Genomic DNA, 21,907 nt, shown 5'->3' on the forward strand with positions numbered 1-21,907 from the left:
GCACATGCCTGTAGTCCTAGCCACTCAGGGGGTTCAGGCAGGAGGATTGCTTGAGCCTAGGAATTTGGGGCTGCCGTGAGCTATTACTGCACCACTGCACCTCAGCCTGGGTGACAGAGTGAGACCCTGTCTCTAAAAAGAAAAAGAAATTATGGAAAAATTAATTCCATTAAGTCTGAAAAACTTTAAATTTGGGATGTTAAACATCTCATATTTTGCTCTGTGGGAAACTAAGGAGAAATAAAAAGTCTGTTAAAAGTAAACATGATTCCCAAAATAAGAAAAACTAATCTAAGAAATGAGGAATTATATAAATTATTTTCACCGTAGGGCACGGTGGCTCACACTTGTATTCCTAACACTTCTGGACGCCAAGGTGGGAGGACTGCTTGATCCCAAGAGTTTGAAACCAGACTGGACAACACAGTGAGAAGCCATCTCTACAAAGAATAGAAAAATTAGCCGGTATGGTGGCGCATGCTTGTGGTCCTAGCTACTTGGGAGGCTGAAGCCCAAGAGGTAAAGGCTTCAGTGAGCCATGTTCACGCCACTTCACTCCAGCCTGGGTGACAGAGTGAGACCCTATCTCAAAATAAATTAATAAATACATTTATGAAGTCAGTCATTTCAAATTGATACAACTGGCAGATAAAGACAAAAATGTGTATCTATAAAATATTTAACAAAATTTCTCATGACAGCTCATCAATCTATCCAGAATACACTATAGTCCCTCAAGGTATAAAAAAATAAGGTAAGCTCAAGCTCACAAAACAGTAGCAGTACATCTTAGTCTGTTTTCTGCTGCTATAACAGAATTCCCACCAGACTGGGAAATTGATAAAGAAAAAGATTTACAGGATTTGGCTCATGGTTCTGAATGCTGAAATGTCCAAGGACATGGCACTAGCATCTAGACGGCCAGCTGGTAAGGGCCTTCTAGCTGCATCGTAACACGGTGGAAAGACATCACATGGTGAGGGTGCATTCAAGAAGGTGGAAAGGGGGCCAAACTGCCCCTTCAGCCTTTTATAATTAACCCATGCTCACGGCAACAGCCTTAATGCATACATATGGGCAGTGCCCCCACGACCTAATTACCTCTTTTTTGTGTATGTGTGGTCAACTTCTGTAGCTTTATACCAATACCACTAATTACCTCTCAACACTGTTGCACTGGGGGTTAAGTTTCCAACACATGCCACATTCAAACCACAGCACAGTACATATTAGGATTTGGGCACTAACCATTTTGTGAACCAATGGAGCCCAAAAGATTCTATAAAAATAATGCTTACCTGATGGGTGTGGTGGGGGGATCCTCACTTCGAGCCTCATTCTCTTGCCTGGCTTCACAGATACAGCTCAACACAGACATGGTCTTCTGGGGACTAAGACAATATATTAAAGCAATATATTGTTAACTTTGAAAAGAAAAGTACTTTTGGAGATTATCCTTTTATGCACAGAGGAAATAAAATGCTTTCTCTGCATATCAAACTCCAAACCACCTTACACCAAAATGCAAATTCTCCATACTTGTTTTGAATTAGCATAATTTAAAATTCTCAAGGAAGATTCACTGGAAATAAGGTGGACAGAGGACTGTATTAAATACCATAAAGATGCGATCAGCAAAATCCAGAATGTAGAAAACCATACAACAATCTGTACCTTCAACAAATAATTTGCAAGCAAGAGGCAAAAAAAAAAAAAAAAAAAAAAAAAAAAGACTGGAGGGGTACTCTGTATTTTAAAAGACTTAAAGAGATATAATCAAATGCAATATGCAGACCTTATTTAGATCTTGAGTCAAACTGTAAAACACCATTTATGAGACAATCAGAGAAATCTGAACATTGAATATTTCATGATATTAAGGAACCATTGTCAATTTTTTAAAGTATGATAATAGTAATACGGTTAAGTTTAAAATAAGAATCCTTATCTTTTGGAGACAGCACTGAAGTATTTCAGATAAAATTATATAATGCTGAAATTATCTTCAAAATAATTCAGTAGGGAGGGGGGTGCTGGAAATATAAATGAATCAAGACTGGCCATAAGAAATTTTTGGAACTGGGTGATGAATACATGGCAGTCCATTATACTACTCTCTCTACTTTCGTATATGCTTGAAACCTTCTGTAGTAAAATGATTGAGAAATAAGGTGACAGCAAGTAATTTGAACAGAGTACAGTTACAAACAACACTTAAAAGTTTCATGTACGCTGGGCACGGTGGCTTATACCTGTAATCCTACCACTTTGGGAGGCCAAGCCAGGTGGATCACTTGAGCTTCAGGAGTTAGAGACTAGCCTGGGCAACATGACGAAACCCCATCTCTACTAAAAACACAAAAATTAGCCCCTGGTGGCAGGTGCCTGTAGTCCCAGCACCCTGTGGGGTTGAGGCAGGAGGATCGCTTGAGCCTGGGAGGTCAAGGCTGCAGTGAACTGTGATTGCACCACTGCACTGCAGCCTGGTTGACAAAGTGAGACCCTGTCTCAAACAAACAAACAAAAAATCTCCACCTAAATGCAGATGAACCAAGGACCACTTCCAATATTGTGACAGAGCTTACTTTAGATGATTTGTTAGAGTGAACACAATAGCAAACAAGTCGAATTTTTTTAAATTTAGATTCTTATATAGAAAAATTTATTCACAACAATATCAAAAATTTCATCTCATTCTAGGATCCACCATTCCAACCCTCTGCTCAAAGTTTTTCCTTATTTTCTCCTCTCTACTTTCTACCCTAAGAGTTCTAGAAGCTTCAGCAACATACTCTGTTCCCTCTGAATATGCACAAGTACAGACTAATAACAACTTATTCCTGGCCAAAAATTCTGTTAAAGCCAAATGGACCAGATACACACTCCACTTTCTTCAGCTTCTAAGACTATATATCATTAAGGGATCTTCAAATGAAAAAGGACTCTACGGTACTTATGTTTCAGATTAAATATACTAATAGCCCAATGAGGAACTAATCTCTCTAAGACATAGCTAAGAACAGATCAAAAGACTTTGAAAAAGGTCAGAAACTCACAAGTGAGGTCACATTTAGTCCACAGGCCTCTTTTATTTGATATTTTATTTTTAAAAATCCAGATTTCTTTCTAAAAACAAAGATGTGGCAACAAGAAGTTTGCAGTTTCACATGACAACTACTGGCTGGAGTTGAGTGGGGCACACCCTTTCACATGGACCATACATTCAGTTTGCCATTGTCCTCAACACTCTGTCTTGCGGGCGGATCACGAGGTCAGGAGATCGAGACCATCCTGGCTAACACGGTGAAACCCCGTCTCCACTAAAAATACAAAAAAAAAATTAGCCAGGCGTGGTGGCTGGCACCTGTAGTCCCAGCTACTTGGGAGGCTGAGGCAGGAGAATGGTGTGGACCCGGGAGGCGGAGCTTGCAGTGAGCGGAGATCGTGCCACTGCACTCCAGCCTGGATGACAGAGTGAGACTCCGTCTCAAAAAAAAAAACAAAAAAAAAACACTCTGTCTTGTACCTAGCCACTTTAGTTATTAACAGTACCCGCCTAGCCTCTAATTTAAGAATTCTTGGTGGGGCATGGTAGCTCACATCTGTAATCCTAGCACTTTGGGAAGTCAAGGCAGGTGGATCACTTGAGCCCAGGAGTTCAAGGCCAGCCTGGGCAACATAGTAAAATCCTCATCTCTACAAAAAATACAAAAATTAGCCAGATGAGGTGGTACATGCCTGTAGCCCCAGCTACTCAGGTGGCTGAGGCAGGAGGATAGCTGGAGGTCAGGATGTTGAGGTCACAGTGAGCCATGATCTCACCACCGCACTCCAGCCTGGGCAACAGAGCAAGATTCTGTCTCAAAAAATAAAAAAGAAAATAAAAGAAGAATTCTTGCCTATGTTTCACCAACTGCTATTAGCGTTTTCAGGCTGGATGACTCATGCCTGAAACAATTGTATTCTCACAGCCACCAGATGGCAAAGCTTACCAACCAAAACCTCAGTATGGGGTCATACTCGTCCTCAAAGCATTACAACATCCATGACAAAGCAAAAATAACAGCTCAACATAGTAGTTAATTTGGCAGGCAGAAGAGAAAATGACCTGAGGCTGCAGCTGAGTATGCGATTGCAGAAGGAACAAGGTCTGTAGCTATCTCTTGTTAATCCTTCTTTTTCTCATCAATTGGATCAACAATCCTGAGATTGTGGAGACTCTTGTATCAGCAACAGAAAAAAGGGGGGAAAGGAACTCTCACATGAACAAAAGTAAAGACATTTCAATTATCTTAGTTCTAGGTGTAGAAAAAAGCTTCACTGAACTTAAAAAAGTATTAACTAAAAAGTCTATGATCCATTCAAAACATTGCTAAATCCTTTATGAAAGAGTCTCATTTTAACTTTCTCATTTTAACTTTTTTCCTTTGTTGATAAACCATCTACCCTCATCACCAGTAGCTGTGTATTAAACTCTAAATAGCATCCAGCTTTGGTTACCTGGCAACAGACTCAGCAACAGCAGTAGATCCATTTTTTCTTTCACCAGTTGCAGGCTCTGAATAAAAACAAAACCAAGGAGAGAAAGGAAAGAGAAACAGAATTTAGTTAGTATCACACCTAAACCTTCACTCTGCTCTACTAGTATTTGCAAAAAATAACAAAAAGAAATAAAAATAAGTAAAACTAGTAAGTATAAACATACAAACATTTCTTGTAATTTTATTTATTTATTTCTTTATTTTGAGACAGTCTCACTCTATCACCCAAGCTGGAGGGCAGTAGCGTGATCTCAGCTCACTGCAACCTCCGCCTCCTGGGTTCAAGCGATCTCCTGCCTCAACCTCCCGAGTAGCTGGGACTACAGGCATGCGCCACCACGTCCAGCTAATTTTTTGTATTTTTTAGGAAAGACAGGGTTTTGCCAAGTTTCCCAAGCTGGTCTCAAACTCCTGAAATCAAGTGATCTGCCAGATTTCTTGTTTTTTGTTTGTTTGTTTTGAGACAACAGTCTCGCTCTGTCACCCAGGCTGCAGTGCAGGCCAGATTTGTTTTAATTTTTTTTTTTTTTTTTTTTTGAGACAGAGTCTCACTCTGTCGCCCAGGCTGGAGTGCAGTGGCGCAATCTCGGCTCACTGCAAGCTCTGCCTCCCGGGTTCACGCCATTCTCCTGCCTCAGCCTCCCCAGCAGCTGAAACTACAGGTGCCCGCCACCACGCCCGGCTAATTTTTTTGTATTTTTAGTCGAGACGGGGTTTCACCGTGTTAGCCAGGATGGTCTCAATCTCCTGACCTCGTGATCCGCCCGCCTCGGTCTCCCAAAGTGCTGGGATTACAGGCAAGAGCCACTGTGCCCGGCTGGCTATTTCTTGTAATTTAATGGTACAAGTTTTTCTCACTTCCACCAATCAATTTTCTTTCAAACTTCCTATAAAAGACTAATAAGATTGGCAAGAAATACAATACAATGAGTAACTTTTTTTTTTTTTGGAGACAGAGTCTTACTCCGTTGCCCAGGCTAGAGTGCAGCGGCGTAATCTCGACTTGCTGCAACCTGTGTCTCCTGGGTTCAAGCGATTCTCATGCCTCACCCTCCTGAGTAGCTGGGATTACAGGTGTGCACCACCACACCCAGCTAATTTTTGTATTTTTAGTAGAGATGGGGTTTCACCATGTTGACCAGGCTGGTCTCAAACTTCCGACCTCAGGTGATTCACCCGCCTCAGGTTCCCAAAGTGTGCTGGGATTACACATACGAGCTACGACACCTAGCCCTTAGCAGTAATATTCTTTTTTTTTTTTTTTTTTTTTTTTTTTGGAGACAGAATCTCACTCTGTTGCTCAGGCTGGAGTGCAGTGGCATGATCTCAGCTCACTGCAACCTCCGCCTCTCGGGTTCAAGAGATTCTGCTGCCTTAGCCTCCCGAGTAGCTGGGATTACAGGTACCTGCCACCATGTCCGGCTAATTTTTATATTTTTAGTAGAGATGGGGTTTCACCATCTTGGCCAGGCTGGTCTCGAACTCCTGACCTCAGGTGATCCACCCACCTCAGCCTCCCAAAGTGCTGGGATTACAGGCATGAGCCACCACACCCGGCCAGCAGTAACATTCTTAAATGAAAATTAAACTTCTGAATCCAAATTCATCTCTGCCCATATAAGAAGTTAAAAAAGTATGTAATAATACAAAATTAAAAACCAAAAACTTTTTAAAATTTATATCATATTAAAAACAAATTAAAAATAAAAGAACTTAATAAAATAAGTAGAAAATATTTTAGGTTGATGAACTAATTTTAAATAGTTTTTAGAGCACCCACAAATAGAAGGTACCCAAGTTCTTCCCAAAGTGCTTTAGGACAGACACTTCAAAAACAAAGGGTGGCCAGGCACGGTGGCTCACTCATGTAATCCCAATACTTTGAGAGGCCAAGGCAGGAGGATCGCTTGAGCCCAGGAGTTCAACACCAGCCTGGCTAACATGGCGAAGCCCCATCTCTATAATAAATACAAAAATTAACCAGGCATGGGTGGTGGGCGTGCCTGTAGTCCCACCTACTCAGGGGGCTAAGATGGGAGGATCGCTTGAGCCTGGGAGATGGAGGCTGCAGTGAGCTGAGATCACCCCATTGCACTCCAGCCTGGGTGACAGGGAGAAGCCCTGTCTCAACAACAATAACAACAAAAAGAAACAAAAAGGACATTTTCAAGAACATGCAGCAACAGATTAAAGGTCGTACTGAAAAAAATCCCATATTCTCACAACAATGTCACTAATTTCAAGGGATTAAAATTTGTTCATTTACAATTTATACCAGCCTTAGAGAAAACAACCCTTAAATGGTTTTTAATTATTTCTAAAATATTCATGACCCAACATAATCTAAACAGTCCATCAGGGAGGCAGCTGAAATTCAGTTGGAGCCCTGGCTCTGAAATAGAAACCTGGCTCACACCCTGGCTATTGCACTTAATAGTCCAACCTAGGAGTAAACTACTTTGTCATTTTGAGTCTCAGTGTCCTCCTCTATAAGATAAAAACACAACAAACCTAAAAAGTTTGTTGTAAGGATGAAATGATGTAAGTAACACTGAATACAGTCCTTGATACTATGCTCCTGGTATTAGGAAAGGTAGTAAAATTTACTGATATAACCATCCTTAACACTTCGCTAGTTGTAATTTCAGATCCAAAGGTAAAGTAAGATTTAAGGCTATCACATACTCTCTCTCTTGACAAACCCTTTTTAAAATTTTTATTTTTGAGATGAGATGTCACTATGTTGCCCAGGCTGGTCTTGTACTTCTGGGTTTAAGCACACCTCCCACCTCAGCCTCTGGCATTGCTGGGATTATAGAAGCGCACCAACCACCATGCCTGGCAATAAGCCCTTATTTATTCCGGAAAAGATGATAGTAAGGATGGAACCATGTAATACTTTAACTCAGTCTACTGAGTTGCTAAGATTCAAATCAGTAAGTACCACAGCATCAAAGATTTGGAACCAGACTTCCTGGATTTGTATCCCGGCTACTCCATTTACTAGCTATGTTTAGGGAAGGCGCTCAACCTTCCTGTGCCTCAGTTTCCTCATCTGTAAAAGGAGGATAATAATAGGATCTAGTTCATCGGCTTCTTATGAGATTTAATGAGCTATACATGTGAAGTACCTGGTATACAGTAAGAGCTAAAAATGTATTAGCTAAAATTACTTTTCTCTGGTCTCAGGGAAGAAGAAGTCCTGCTTATCCAACCTATTCTGTGTAGTCTTCAATAGCTTCCCCTCCCAACTTCTTCAGGGCCTTAATTCATCAACTGTTTCCCCCAATTCCCTCGTCTTTAATCTATGCCTCCCTCTTTTGGATCCTTCCTTAACCCATTTATGCTGGAGGTTGCAAATTTTTTTTTGTGAAAAATCAGACCTTGGTGATGACCTTGAGCAGCAGGATATAAATAACTCCCGCAAGCTTAGTGTTCCAATAGTGGAACACTAGGCATAAATGGGTTAAAATCTGTAAACTTGCTCAGGCCTCTCCCAGCCTAAAATAACAAATCCTCTCTCAACCCTGCATTTCCCTCTAACTCACCATATTTTCTCTTCTTCTCTCACATAAACTTCTCAAAAGTAGAGAGTACATTTGCAGCCTCATCTCCTCTTCCTCATCCTTCCTCAATTACTTTCAGTATAGCTCCCACCCCAACTGCTGCACTGAAATGGCTCTTGCTAGAGTCACCAAATGGATCCTAATTGCCTCGCCGAAGTCAAAGTATATTTCCAGACACATCTTACTAAACTTGCTCCTGTGCCTGACATGATCTTCTTGTAACTCCCCTCCCCATAGGCTTCCATGGCTTCATATACCCTCCTAGTTCTCCTTCTCTCTGAACGTTCCTTTATAATCTCCTTTATGAGATTTCTTCCTCTTCTAATCCCCCTTAAACAGCTTTTACAAATTACCTGAAATGAAAAAATTATAAGCTTCAGAGTTAGGTCTGACTCAAATTCCAACTCCACCTAGCACCAATTATTGTGACCTTAGACATGTAACTTAAAAACCTCTCTTACTCTGTTTTCTCATCAATAAAATGAAAATGCAGATACCTACTTGGGAGTACTATTATGGAAATGAGATCATACAGTATATGTGAAGAGTCATTCTCTCTTTTTTTCCTCCCCCTTACTTCCATATTCACCTGGCACCATCGTTCTGCCTACTCGCTCCTCAAATTCATCCCTCATCTCCAGCCCCACTACCAATGACCTCACTTTCTGGTTAAAGACTGGGTAGAATTTACCAGGCAGGAGAACAGAATATGGGAAATGCAAGGAAAGGAATCATCATGCACAAAAGCACAAGGTTTTGAAAGACTCAGCTGATGCTTTTTTTTAAAGGCAAATCTGATCATATTACTCCCTTGCCTAAAATTCTTCGGCTTCTCAGCATGATGTAAAAAGCCTTTCAGCATCTGGTCCCTACTTTGCATCCCTCCCTTGTATCTTCTCTTTATTCTAGCCCTACCAAACAACTTCTAATTCATGTGGGAAAGAATCAACATTAATCTGCAATGTGAATCCACAGTCCTAAAGTTTTCTACCCTATTCTGAAGTCTTTCTGAATAGGGAAACCAATTACATAGGAACAGACTTAACAGAAACAAGCTATAATATGGAGATTATAAAACAGAGTATCTTTAGTAACATGACAGGCTGGCCAAAAGCAAAGAATTAAATCTATGAGTGTAAGACTTTACAAATACATTTATAAATATAGAAGTATCAATTATTATAACTAGATTATAATCAATACTCCCCAGATAATCTGCAGCTACTAATTACCCAAGATTAACATAAAACTTACTTTCCAGGTTGAACTGCAAAGACTCTTCACTCGCCTCAGTCTCAGGACTAACCAGTTTCATTCTTAGACATAATTTATCATCCACGTCTGGGGCAGCCCCAGAATCCCCTTTTCCACTCCCAAGTATGGGATCATGGGTCTCCACCATGCTTTCAGACATGACATCACTGGTTGCTATGGTGCTTTCTGGATAGTTGCTAATACCTGAAAGAAGTGAGGCAGGGAGGAAGAAAAAAAGAACACTAAAATACAAACACAAAAAACAGCAATTCAAGGTCATCAATTTGCCTGTTTGGCTCCACAGCTCTGCAGGATTGAAGGAGGTTCCTAGGATAGATCCCTGTCATAAGTATCAACAACTACGAACTAGTATTGACACCTGGTCTTAAGAGGAGCAACAGGATTCAGTTCCACTTCTGCATCTGGACAAAGGATGCTGCATGAGCCCTCAGCCAACCCACATCTGCCAGCATCAGGCATAGGTAGCAGGAGACTCCAGACGGCATGATTGTTACCTCCCAGCACTGACTAGAGAAAACAAATAGGTTAATGTAGAAGACTACTGGCTGCTTCAGGGAAGGAGGATCTAAGTTTTCTTGCCCTGTCAAGCAGCAGACTGACTAATTAGCCAAGGTACTGAATAAATAGTACTTCTACCTTACTTCCTGTTCCATCCTTATAAAACATCTCTACATCACTACTTAGCACTCAGATTCTACTGCCTTGCAAGTAATAAGATAAAATTCTTTTAAGTATTCTCTTTCTTTCTTACTTCCCTCCACCCTTTCTTTCCTTCCTCTCTTTACCCCTCATCTCCTAGTAGTAAAATCACAGAACCAGACTTCATAACCCTATTTTCCCTAAAACAAAAATCAACCTTACCAGCCAGACCCAACTCCTCAGATCTAAAATATCACTTGTGTAGAGAATGATATCTCAGAAATTCTGCCTTAAATATCATTACTTTTTATTCACTCACCAATAGGAGTACTGTGTCTCTTGGGCTCCAATTTTAGGTGCCCAATAAGAGGTGGGGTTGCACCAGTCAATGGTGGGATGATATCACCTTCTTTAGGCAAAGTGAAATGAAATGGGGTTTCTGAAAAAAAAAAAAAAAAGAAAAAAGAAAGAAAGAAAAAATGATTTAAAAAAAACAGAAGTATAAAATAAGCAAAAATAATAAGAACTGCAAGAAATATTTCAATCACTCTTTTCCTTTGCTCCCAAATTCTGTCTCATTGCCACCACCCTCACCAGGCCTCCTGACTAACTCCCTTCTATCGTCTCTGCTCTCTTCACAGCCAACAACTATAGTACTGACACAAAGTAGACAACCAGAGGACAGGCAAATTGAGAAAGCCCGAAGTCTGCAAGACCTGAGGAACCTGGAGTCAAATGGAACACAAACATTTGATCTCCAAGACAGTACATCAGGGGATATTTAGCAATACAAATTTGGACAGTTTCAAATCAGAACAACATAATTTTGTGCAATGCTAACCTAAGGAGTTTGTTTATAAGCCTTAATAGTCTGTAGGATTCTCCAAAGCAAAGTTTGAAGTTAATACTTATAATGTACAATCTAATCAAAGAGATGACAGAGGATCTCACGGGTTAAAGGACTTCAAGATACTGACTGGTTCTAGCATAGAAATCCAAGGGTTTCATGGTTCAGCAGTACGGACCAGCATTCACTCTAGGCCTAAGTGTAATGTTCATACCTAAATCTCTGCACAACAGTAAATCCCTCATATATAAGCATCACCAGTGTACACATTTTAGTTATTAAATTATTATAAATAGAAAATATTTGTCAAGACATAAAGCTACTTTCTACCTAGGTCTCAGTTCCAAATTTTTGCTAATCAGAACTAGAAAACCGTCAAAAAATCACATTTTCTAATTTCCTAATTTATCTCTTTTTATAAAATGATACATTTGGGAGAAAATAAGAATTGCGCCAGACTGCCCTCTTAAAACTAATATATGAAAATTTCTTCTTACTTTCCTGGGATGGCTCAAAATAACTATAATCTGGCATACTTGGACACTACTACTTATGAAAGTAGTTTGCTTCTTTCATCTTTTTCCACTCCTATCTTTAATAGCAAGCACCGTGATAATTTTTTCCTTTAAAACAAAACAAAACAAAAAAATTTTTTTTTTTTTTTGAGACGGAGTCTGGCTCTGTCGCCCAGGCTGGAGTGCAGTAGCTCGATCTCGGCTCACTGCCAGCTCCGCCTCCCGGGTTCATGCCATTCTCCTGCCTCAGCCTCCCAAGTAGCTGGGACTACAGGCGCCCTCCATCACGCCCAGCTAATTTTTTGTATTTTTAGTAGAGATGGGGTTTCAAGAGAAAATGAATTAGTAATCTGAGGAGATAAAGAGAGAAAAAGAAATGGTCTTTAGAAATAAAGGATTAAAGTACATATGCTCAGCTAAAGAAACTGTAAAGAGGGGCCAGGTACCATGGCTCATGCCTGTAATCCCAACACTTTGGGAGACGAAGGCGGATGGATCACTTGAGGTCAGAAGTTCGAGACCAGCCTGGCCAAAATAATGAAACCCTGTCTCCACTAAAAATACAAAAATTAGCTGGGTGTAGTGGCAGGTGCCTGTAATCCCAGCTACTCAGGAGGCTGAGGCAGGAGAACTGCTTGAACCTGGGAGGCAGAGGTTGCAGTAAGCCAAGATGGTGCCACCGCACTACAGCCTGGATGACAGAGCGAGACCGTGCCTCAAAAAAACAAAACAAAACAAAACAAAAACAAACCTGTAAACAGTATGGATGAAGAATCTCAACATTACATCTAACTGACAGACATCCACCATAGTTACAGAAAAGAGAAATGGGTCAGGTAGATAAGCATTCATTCTGTGGTAGCCCCTTATAAAGCAAGTTGTTCTAATAAAGAACTTAGAAGAGATACAGAAACTTAAAAAACACCTTGCAAAGCCTCATATATTCCAGACTTCTGAAAATGTGCATGAAATCTTTAAGCAGACCTTTCTATGTGACATACTATATTACGCAAATGCAATATGCAAGCATTAATCGCTGAAAATATATCCCTGTAACAAGGTTTCCTTTGCACAGTATTACATAAAACTTATGGAAAGTAATTTTAGCACCATTTATCTAACTGCATTACTATAACCTAATGGAAAATTCAGACTTTTACAGGCCCTAGGGACAGCACTGCCACTACTCTCCTCAGGTCTCCAATGCCTCATTCCTGGATTATTACCATAGCCTATCAATCACTTCCTCTGCCTAAAGTCTCCCACTCTCCCTAACCCCCATTCTTTCTGCACACTTTCTGCAGCCTTCCTAGAAAACATGGCTTTGTTAGCTCCTGGTCAAAAAACTTCAAGGTTTTCACTAGAAGACAAATTCCCAACTCTATAGTCAGCATTCAACTAACTAGTAGCAGCCTATATCTCCAGTTTTTCTTTAATTATTCACGTTCATAAAGCTTCTATTCAATGTCCTCCAAAGGTTTCCCATTTCTATGCTTTTGTTCCCTCATCTGGAAAACACCACACATCTACTCAAACTATTGCCAAATCCTTAAAAATACATTTGCTGGTATATTTTATCCTTTTAAACTTACGGAATTTTCCACATATTCCATTATTTCTCTAACATTTAGCAATCCTACATTCTTTAAATTATCAAATCCCTTCTTGTTTTTCCAGATAATCATGGGCTATCATGTTGTAGGTCAGCATACCAAACAATAATGAAGGATATGAATGAGGAAACAAAAGGAAACTCAATACTAATTTTGAAACCACCTGAGTGGGAGTATGTGTCCTTTAAGGACTTTAGAGAATAACTCCAAAGCAATATTTAAAACTCTAAATGTTAAGAAGGTCTCTCCTAACTTTCTGTTATAGTTTTAAACCCATTTTTCTTCTTTGTTCTTAAAAGAACTGGTTACCCCTAAGAATTTATTAAAAGCCATCTAGTTAAAAATGTAAGAATTTATATATCCGGCGATATCATGCATGAAGTCTACCCCAAAAGTCTGCCTCTGATATTAATAGCCAATTAAGATGGCATTCTATCAAGTAAGCAAATAAAGGTTATAGCTAGAGCCTAAAACACATCTAGATCCCCTGATCATTATTAACTATTACAGACTATTACTTATGGATTTAAAGACTTACTGAACTCCTTACAGTTTTTCACATCATCAACCCACCAAATATTTGTTCTGTGTTGAACAAGATTGGGCTTCCAAGTACCATCTTGCTTTTTTACAGGTTTAACAGGAGCTCTCCATAGACAGATACTTGAAGAGGTCTCCAAACTGTTAACAGTGACAAGTTATCTATAAATGGAGACATTTAAAGTAATTCTCTCTCTCCCTCTCTGTACTCACTCTCTCTTTTCCTTCCAACTCCCTCTCTCCCCACACCCTCCCCACTCAGAATCTCTACTTTGTATTGTTTGAATGTTTTTCAAAATTAAGCATGCATTATTTATTTACTTATTTATTTGAGACAGGGTCTCGCCCTGTTGCGCAGGCTAAAGTGCAGTGGTGCAATCTCAGCTTACTACAACCTCCGCCTCCCGAGTTCAAGTGATTCTCAAGCCTCAGCCTCCTAAGTAACTGGAATTACGCGTGCACGCCACCATGCCTGGCCAAGCATGTATCTTTTTTTAAAATCAATAAATCTATTAACAACAAAAAAGTGCTCTTCTAATAGTAGATGAACAAATGCAAAACTCACCCAATTCACACCTTTCATTCTGTCTTTTCAGACTGAAGAACCATTACTTTTTTTCTTTTTTTTTTTAATTATTATACTTTAAGTTTTAGGGTACATGTGCACAATGTGCAGGTTAGTCACACACGTATACATGTGCCATGCTGGTGTGCTGCACCCATCAACTCGTCATTTAGCATTAGGTATATCTCTCAATGTTATCCCTCCCCCGTCCCCCCACCCCACAACAGTCCCCAGAGTGTGATGTTCCCCTTCCTGTGTCCATGTGTTCTCATTGTTCTATTCCCATCTATGAGTGAGAACATGCGGTGTTTGGTTTTTTGTCCTTGCGATAGTTTACTGAGAATGATGATTTCCAATTTCATCCATGTCCCTACAAAGGACACGAACTCATCATTTTTTATGGCTGCATAGTATTCCATGGTGTATATGTGCCACATTTTCTTAATCCAGTCTATCATTGTTGGACATTTGGGATGGTTCCAAGTCTTTGCTATTGTGAATAGTGCCGCAATAAACATACGTCTGCATGTGTTTTTATAGCAGCATGATTTATAGTCCTTTGGGTATATACCCAGTAATGGGATGGCTGGGTCAAATGGTATTTCTAGTTCTAGATCCCTGAGGAATCGCCACAGTGACTTCCACAATGGTTGAACTAGTTTACAGTCCCACCAACAGTGTAAAAGTGAAGAACCATTACTTTTTAGATTACTATCATTTAAATTTGGCCAGGCCCAGTGGCTCATACCTGTAATCCCGGCACTTTGAGAGGCCAAGGCAGGTGGATTACTTGAGGCCAGGACTTCGAGACCAGCCTGGCCAACATGGCAAAACCCTGTCTCTACTAAAAATACAAAAATTAGCCAGGCATGGTGACATGTGCCTATAATTCCAGCTACTCAGGAGGCTGAGGCACAAGAATCACTTGAACCTGGGAGGCGGAGGTTGCAGTGAGCCGAGATCATGTCACTGCACTCCAGCCTGGGCGACAGAGCAAGACTCTGTTCCAAAAAAATAAAAATAAAATTAGTCTCTCAACATTTAGCAACTAAACAACTATATTTTTAAGTACAAAATAATATTTTTCTGTTCTTTTTGCAACGCTCTTCTGAATGATTTATTTTATACAATTTTCTAAGTTAAAAACTATTGTTCTCGGCTGAGCACGGTGGCTCATACCTGTAATCCTGGCACTCTGGGAGGCCAAGGTGGGTGGATTGCCTGAATCCAAGAGTTCGAGATCAGCCTGGGCAACATGGCAAAACCCTGTCTCTACAAAAAATCAGCCAAGCATGCTGGTACACGCCTGTAGTCCCGGCTTCTCGGGGCGGGGGGCTGAAGTGGGAGGATCACCTGAGCCCGGGAGGTCAAGGCTGCAGTGAACATTGATGGTGCCACTGCACTCCAGCCTGGGCGACAGAGTGAGACCCTGGCTCAAAAACAAACAAAAAAAAAGACAAAAAGCTATTATTCTCCCTTCATGTTCTAATTTGTAGTTAAAATTATTTTTATTTAACTTCTCCTCATAAATACTATTTTCCAACCACTGTCTTCATTACTTTTTGTTGTTTGCCCAAGAACTAAAATCATGAAATAAACACGAAATCACTAGCATTTTCAATAATCTGGATATTAATGTTAATAAAATAATAAGTTTTACTACGGCAAAAAAAGCTGACTCTGCCAATTAACAATGTAAACAAGAATTCATGAAGAATACTATTAAAATAATAGAATATCTCACTGTTTTAGAAGCTTCTTTTGCATTTAATTTAAAAGTACTCCAGGCCGGGCGCGGTGGCTCACGCCTGTAATCCCAGCACTTTGGGAGGCCGAGGCGGGCGGATCACGAGGTCAGGAGATCGAGACCATCCTGGCTAACACGGTGAAACCCCGTCTCTACTAAAAATACAAAAAATTAGCCGGACGTGGTGGTGGGCGCCTGTAATCCCAGCTACTCGGGAGGCTGACGCAGGAGAATGGCATGAACCCAAGAGGCGGAGCTTGCAGTGAGCCGGGATAGCGCCACTGCAGTCCAGCTTGGGCGAAAAAGTGAGACTCCGTCTCAAAAAAAAAAAAAAAAAAAAAAAAAGTACTCCAAAATAACTATATTAAAACAATCAAAGAGACCTGATATTTTGTTGGCACAGGTCATTAGCAGTATTTAAACATAATACAATTAGAAAAATACTCTACTACAGAATTTTAGGTTATTCACATTGTTCTTCACTACAGCTCTTCAGAATCAAATAATCTGTATTAAGCAGTTTTACAGGAAGAAAAAGCACAGCTGGGATCAGGAGACCTAGGTTCTAGTCTCACCTCTATCATTAACTAGCCAAAAGACGTTAAGAAGAGACTAAATCCAATAACCCCTCACTTCCTTTTTAGCTCTAACATTTCTTATTCTTAAGATAAAAAAAAAGTGCTAAATATAAAAGCTAATAAATAGGGACTTTTTTTTTTTTTGAGGCGGAGTCTCATTCTGTCACCTAAGCTGGAGTGCAGTGATACAATCTCGGCTTCTCGTGCCTCAGCCTCCAGAGTAGCTGGGACTACAGGCACCCGTCATCATTCCAGGCTAATTTTTGTATTTTTAGTAGAGATGAGGTTTCATCATGTTGGCAAGGCTGGTCTCGAACTCCTGATCTCAGGTGACCCGCCCGCCTTGGCTTCTCAAAGTGCTGGGATTACAGGCGTGAGCCACCGCACCCGGCCAATAGGGACAATTTAAAAACTAAAAAAAAAGTACTATTAATAATCACACTTAGACAATGGGTATAAAATGGGACTGTTCTAGGCTGGGTGCAGCGGCTCACGCCTGTAATCCCAGCACTTTGGAGGCCGAGGAAGGCAGATGACGAGGTCAGGAGATTGAAACCATCCTGGCCAGCATGGTGAAACCCCGTCTCTACTAAAAATACAAAAATTAGCTGGGCATGGTGGCATGCACCTGTAGTCCCAGCTACTCGAGAGGCTGAGGCAGGAGAATTGCTTGAACCCGGGAGGCAGAGGTTGCAGTGAGCTGAGATTGCGCCACTGCACTCCAGCCCAGCAACAGAGCAAGACTCCACATCTCAAAAAAAAGGGACTGTTCTACGCAAACCAAAAAATATGGTCACTCATACTATCATATGTAAACCTGCCAAATACTGTTTTTTCATTTCATCCTAAAAACTTGTTTTCTTAAGTTTGTGTCTTGTTATTTTGTTTTTGGAGCTTGATTTTACATTATAATAACTCTTTTTTTTTTTGAGACAGAGTTTCACTCTTGTTGCCCAGGCTGTAGTGCAATGGCGCAATCTCAGCTCATCGCAACCTCCATCTCCCGGGTTCAAGTGATTCTCCTGTCTCAGCCTCCCGAGTAGCTGGGATTATAGGCGCCTGCCAGCACTCCTGGCTAATTTTGTGTTTTTGGTAAAGACAGGGTTTCTCCATGTTGGTCAGGCTAGTCTCAAACTTCCGACCTCAGGCGATCTGCTGGCCTCAGCCTCCCAAAGTGCTGGGATTACAGGCGTGAGCCACCACGCCTGACCTACATTATACTAACTCTAAGGATTCAGAAAGATTGAATTATTTTCAGCTAATGTCATACTCTACAAATTATTTTATTTTATTTTTGGGAAACAGAGTCTCACTCTGTTGCCCAGGCTGCAATGCAGTGGCGTGATCTTGGCTCACTGCAACCTCTGCCTCTCAGGTTCAAGCGATTCTCATGCCTCAGCCTCCCGAGTAGCTGGAACTACTGGTACACACGACACACCTGGCTAATTTTTTGTATTTTAGTGGAGATGGGTTTCACCATGTTAGCCAGGCTGGTCTCAAACTCCTGAGCTCAGGCAATCCGCCCACCTTGGCCTCCCAAAGTGTTAGGATTACAGGCGTGAGCCACTGCACCCAGCCTGTACAAATACTTTAGAAAGTAATCTACGTTTTCATGCTGAATTTCATAAAATAAAGAACAAGAACTAATACATTTTCCAGTTTCAGGTTTAAGAGATATGTATTTTTTGAACTAAGTTTAGAAACTTTACCTAATGCCCATAAAAAGGAAATAACTAATTAATAGGATACTCATCAACAGTTCTGAATGTGATTTTACCACACAGAGTTAATCAAAAAAGATCCTTCTACTTCAAGGCAACTGTCAAAATCTATACACAGAGAGCAAGGATACAATCTAAGTAAAAAAAAAACAGATTGGTACAATTTCTAAATATTTTTTACCAACTAGTCCCGAGTTACAAAGCTGATAAACCTCAAATATCTTTAATTGCACAAATAATTATAGCTATTAAAAAAATACAATCCAGGTTGGGCGTGGTGACTCATCCCTGTAATCCCAGCACTTTGGAAGGCCAAGGCAGGTAGATCACTTGAGTCAGGAGTTCGAGACTAGCCTGGCTAACATGGTGAAACCCCATCTCTACTAAAAATACACAAAAATTAGCCAGATAGTGGCATGAGCCTATAGTCCCAGCTACTTGGGAGGCTGAGGCACGAGAAATCACTTGAACCCGGGAGGTGGAGGTTGCAGGGAGCTGAGACTGCACCACTGTACTCCAGCCTGGGCAACAGAGCGGGACTCTGTCTCAAAAAAAAAAAAAGGCAATCCAAAAAATTTAATTTCCCAATTATTATTGGTTGTTCATAAACATAAACCAAAGATAGTGTTCACTCCTGACATAAGCATGCAGTTCTCGCCAACTTTCCATTCCAGATTATAATTTAGGTGGAGACAAGAATAATCTACAATCACACTCACCACTAGAACTTTCACAGAAGCTTTGTGAGGCATGGGCAGAGGGCTTCCCCAGCTTCTGGGCCTCTGCATCTGAGCTTAGCTGCTTTGCATTAGCCATTTTTGAGTCTTCTGTTAATGAATTACTTGTTTTCTCCTGAGTTTGGGGCTGCTGCAACTCCTGGTCAAGTCTTAAAGGATCATCTGCTCTCACTAAAGGTAAGGAAGGCTGTGAAGAATCTTGCTCTACAGGTTCTGTTTCTGCAGTCCCTGATTTCAGATCTCCTTCATATTCTACACTCTTTTCTTCCTTGGTGTCTAATCTATTCTCAGCACATGGTTCTATTTCTGGAGCAATATCCTCCCATGACTGGGAATCTGAGCACTTCTCCACTCCCTCCAAAGGTTCACAAGAAACATCAACTCTGGGAGATGGCTCTTTCACATCTACAATGACAACACTGGAGTCCTCTGAAGTAGCTTCTTCCCAAGCTTCCTGTTCCTTATGTTCCAATTCTTGGTCAAGTATTGCCAACTTTTGAGGGGAATCAATACTAATCACACTGGTTTCAACTTCCATAGCTTCTGAGCATTCTTTTTTTGGCATTTCCTTTTGAAGACACAACCCTTGGGACTGAGTTTCAGTCAGAGAAAGGTGCAACGGAACACTCTCCATATTTTCTTCTTTGAGTTCCTCTCCTTGACTTTCACAAGGTGTCTCAGGGATTTCTTCCACCTCAGACCCTGAAGACCCCTCCTCTGGATGGTGTTCTTTAATTTCCATAGCTTCCTCCTGATCTAACACACTAGAAAGTGCCTCAGATCGAGTAGCTGGTGACGGAACTGCCTGACTCCCCGAATCACAAGTGAGATCAATACAAACATCTTCTGCTACCGTTTCTTCTCTGCCCTTGCAACCAGTGGCTAAAATACTAATGTCATCCCTGGTGTCTGTATCATCTCCCTTTGTTTTGTCATCATTCTGACTCAGTTGTACTTCACCATCCTGTGCTGGATTCATCAGGATACTATCATTTTCAGCAGGAACAAATTTAGAATTGAGAACTGGAGACATGGGTTCCGTATCCTCAATCTGTGTGTTTTCTCCATCTTCATCAATTCTGTGAGAACTCAAGCTCTCCATCTTTGGGGACTGACTATATTCACTTGTAGAAAGCATCAACTTGCAAGAATCCCCTGTCAAAGATAGCCCAAGATCCTCAGGGGAATTCTTTGGTTCAATCTCTGAAGTTTTAGAACACTCAACTGTCAAAGATGAACTATGCATATCTCCATCTTTCTTCCCATCATTTGATTGTTCTTCCAGACTTGGGGAAGGAATAAAAATGTCCTAAGGAAGAACAGAAAGAGACAAATTGTAATTTGTACATGATCATATATCTTTTATATCGAATCCTTGGATTCATATAAAATTTCTAAAATCAAATTTCTAAATCAAATTTTTAAATTCATATAAAATTTCTAAATCAAATTTAAGAATTAAAGAACTCTAGTATAGCCAGGAGCAGTGGCACATGCTCCAGCCCATTTCAGTTCTCACAAAGTGGGGATACGTACTCATTTTACTTCACGATTTCAAAATGTGCTAGCATTCAACACGGTGAAACCCTGTCTCTACTAAAAATACAAAAAAATCAGCCAGGCGTGGTGGTGGGCACCTGTAATCCCAGCTACTTGGGAGGCTGAGGCAGGAGAATCACTTGAACCTTGGAGGCGGAGGTTGCAGTAAGCCGAGATTGCACCACTGCACTCCAGCCTGGGTGACGGAGTGAGACTCCATCTCAAAAAAAAAAAAAAAAAAAAAAAAAAAAAAAGCTAGCATTCATAAAGCAGGTATTAAAATCCAGTGGCCAGGTGTGGTAGCTCATGCCTATTATCCCAGCATTTTGGGAGGCTGAGGCAGGTATATCACCTGAGGTCAGGAGTTCAAGACCAGCCTGGCCAACATGGCGAAACCCTGTCTCTACCAAAAATACAAGAATTAGCCGGGTGGGGTGGTGCATGGCTGTAATCCCAGCTACTCAAGAAACTGAGGCAGAAGAATGGCTTGAACCGCGGAGGCAGAGGTTGCAGTGAGCCAAGATCGTGTCATTGCACTCCAGTCTGGATTACAGAGCAAGACTCCATCTCAAAAAATAGTAATAATAATACTAATAATAATAAATAAAATCCAAAGCTTACAAAATATCAATAGTCAACAGAGAAATACAAATTAAAATCACAATGAAATACCACTACACGCAACAAAAGCAACTAACATAGGCCAGGCACGGTGGCTCACACCTGTAATCCCAGCACTTTAGTAGGCCAAGGCAGGCGGATCACCTGACGTCAGAAGTTCGAGACCAACCTGGCCAACATGGTGAAACCCCATCTCTACTAAAAATACAAAAATTAGCCGGGCATGGTGGCGTGCACCTGTAGTCCCAGCTACTCACAAGGCTGAGGCAGGAGAATCACTTGAACCCAGGAGGCAGAAGGCAGAGGTTGCAGTGAGCTGAGATCGTGACATTGTACTCCAGCCTGGGCAACAAGTGAGACTATATCTCAAAAAAAAAAAGCAAACTAATGTTAAAATAGTTCACAAAACAGTCAGGCATCGTGGCTCAGCCAGGGATGGTGGCTCACACCTGTAATCCCAGCACTTTGGGGAGGCTGAGGTGGGAAAACTGCTTAAGCCCAGGAGTTCAAGACCAGCCTGGACAACATGGCTACACCCCATGTCTACAGAAACTTTAAAAATTAGCCAGGCATGGTATTGTGTCCCTACAGTCCCAGCTACTCGGGAGGCTGAGGCAGCAGGATCCTTGAGCCACAGGAGTTCAAGGCTGCAGTGAGCTATTATTGTACCACTCACTGTACACTAGCCTGGGTGACAGAGAAAGACTCTGTCCCAAAAAAAGACAAAAAAAAAAAGGTTCACAAAACCCAGGATTAGCAACGATGTTGAACAACTGCAACTCTCGTACATTGCTGCTGGGAATGCAAAATGTTACACCCACTTTGGAAAAACAGTATGGCAGTATCTTATAAAGTTGAACATT

The 21,907-nt window shown here is 40.9% G+C and overlaps 1 protein-coding gene across 11 annotated transcripts in view, besides 1 other annotated feature; it reads right to left on the minus strand.

The window, feature by feature from the left end:
• The window catches only part of TP53BP1 (tumor protein p53 binding protein 1), a 107,580-nt gene that overhangs the window by 33,965 nt on the left and 51,708 nt on the right, over positions 1 to 21,907 (minus strand). For 10 of the 11 annotated variants that reach the window (XR_007064488.1, NM_005657.4, NM_001411050.1 and 7 more), the window contains 5 exons: positions 18,867 to 20,193; positions 10,341 to 10,460; positions 9,362 to 9,565; positions 4,501 to 4,558; positions 1,299 to 1,391 (listed from right to left, as the gene is read on the minus strand). Coding sequence is in view for 10 of the 11 variants with exons in the window: in NM_005657.4 (NP_005648.1) it covers positions 1,299 to 1,391; positions 4,501 to 4,558; positions 9,362 to 9,565; positions 10,341 to 10,460; positions 18,867 to 20,193 (1,802 nt within the window). In the remaining variant the exon portion in view is untranslated. Of the gene's footprint in view, positions 1 to 1,298; positions 1,392 to 4,500; positions 4,559 to 9,361; positions 9,566 to 9,740; positions 9,890 to 10,340; positions 10,461 to 18,866; positions 20,194 to 21,907 lie in introns of all 11 variants that reach the window. The other variant, NM_001355001.2, reaches the window with a different exon arrangement.
• Positions 4,989 to 5,592: an enhancer, noted in NCBI's record as "H3K27ac-H3K4me1 hESC enhancer chr15:43734212-43734815 (GRCh37/hg19 assembly coordinates)". NCBI's record gives its function as "activates a minimal SCP1, AML or CMV promoter by ChIP-STARR-seq in naive H9 embryonic stem cells {active_cell/tissue: H9 hESC(naive)}" and the evidence as "EXISTENCE:reporter gene assay evidence [ECO:0000049][PMID:30033119]".

Source organism: Homo sapiens, chromosome 15, assembly GCF_000001405.40.
Source record: "Homo sapiens chromosome 15, GRCh38.p14 Primary Assembly".
NCBI lineage: Eukaryota > Metazoa > Chordata > Mammalia > Primates > Hominidae > Homo > Homo sapiens.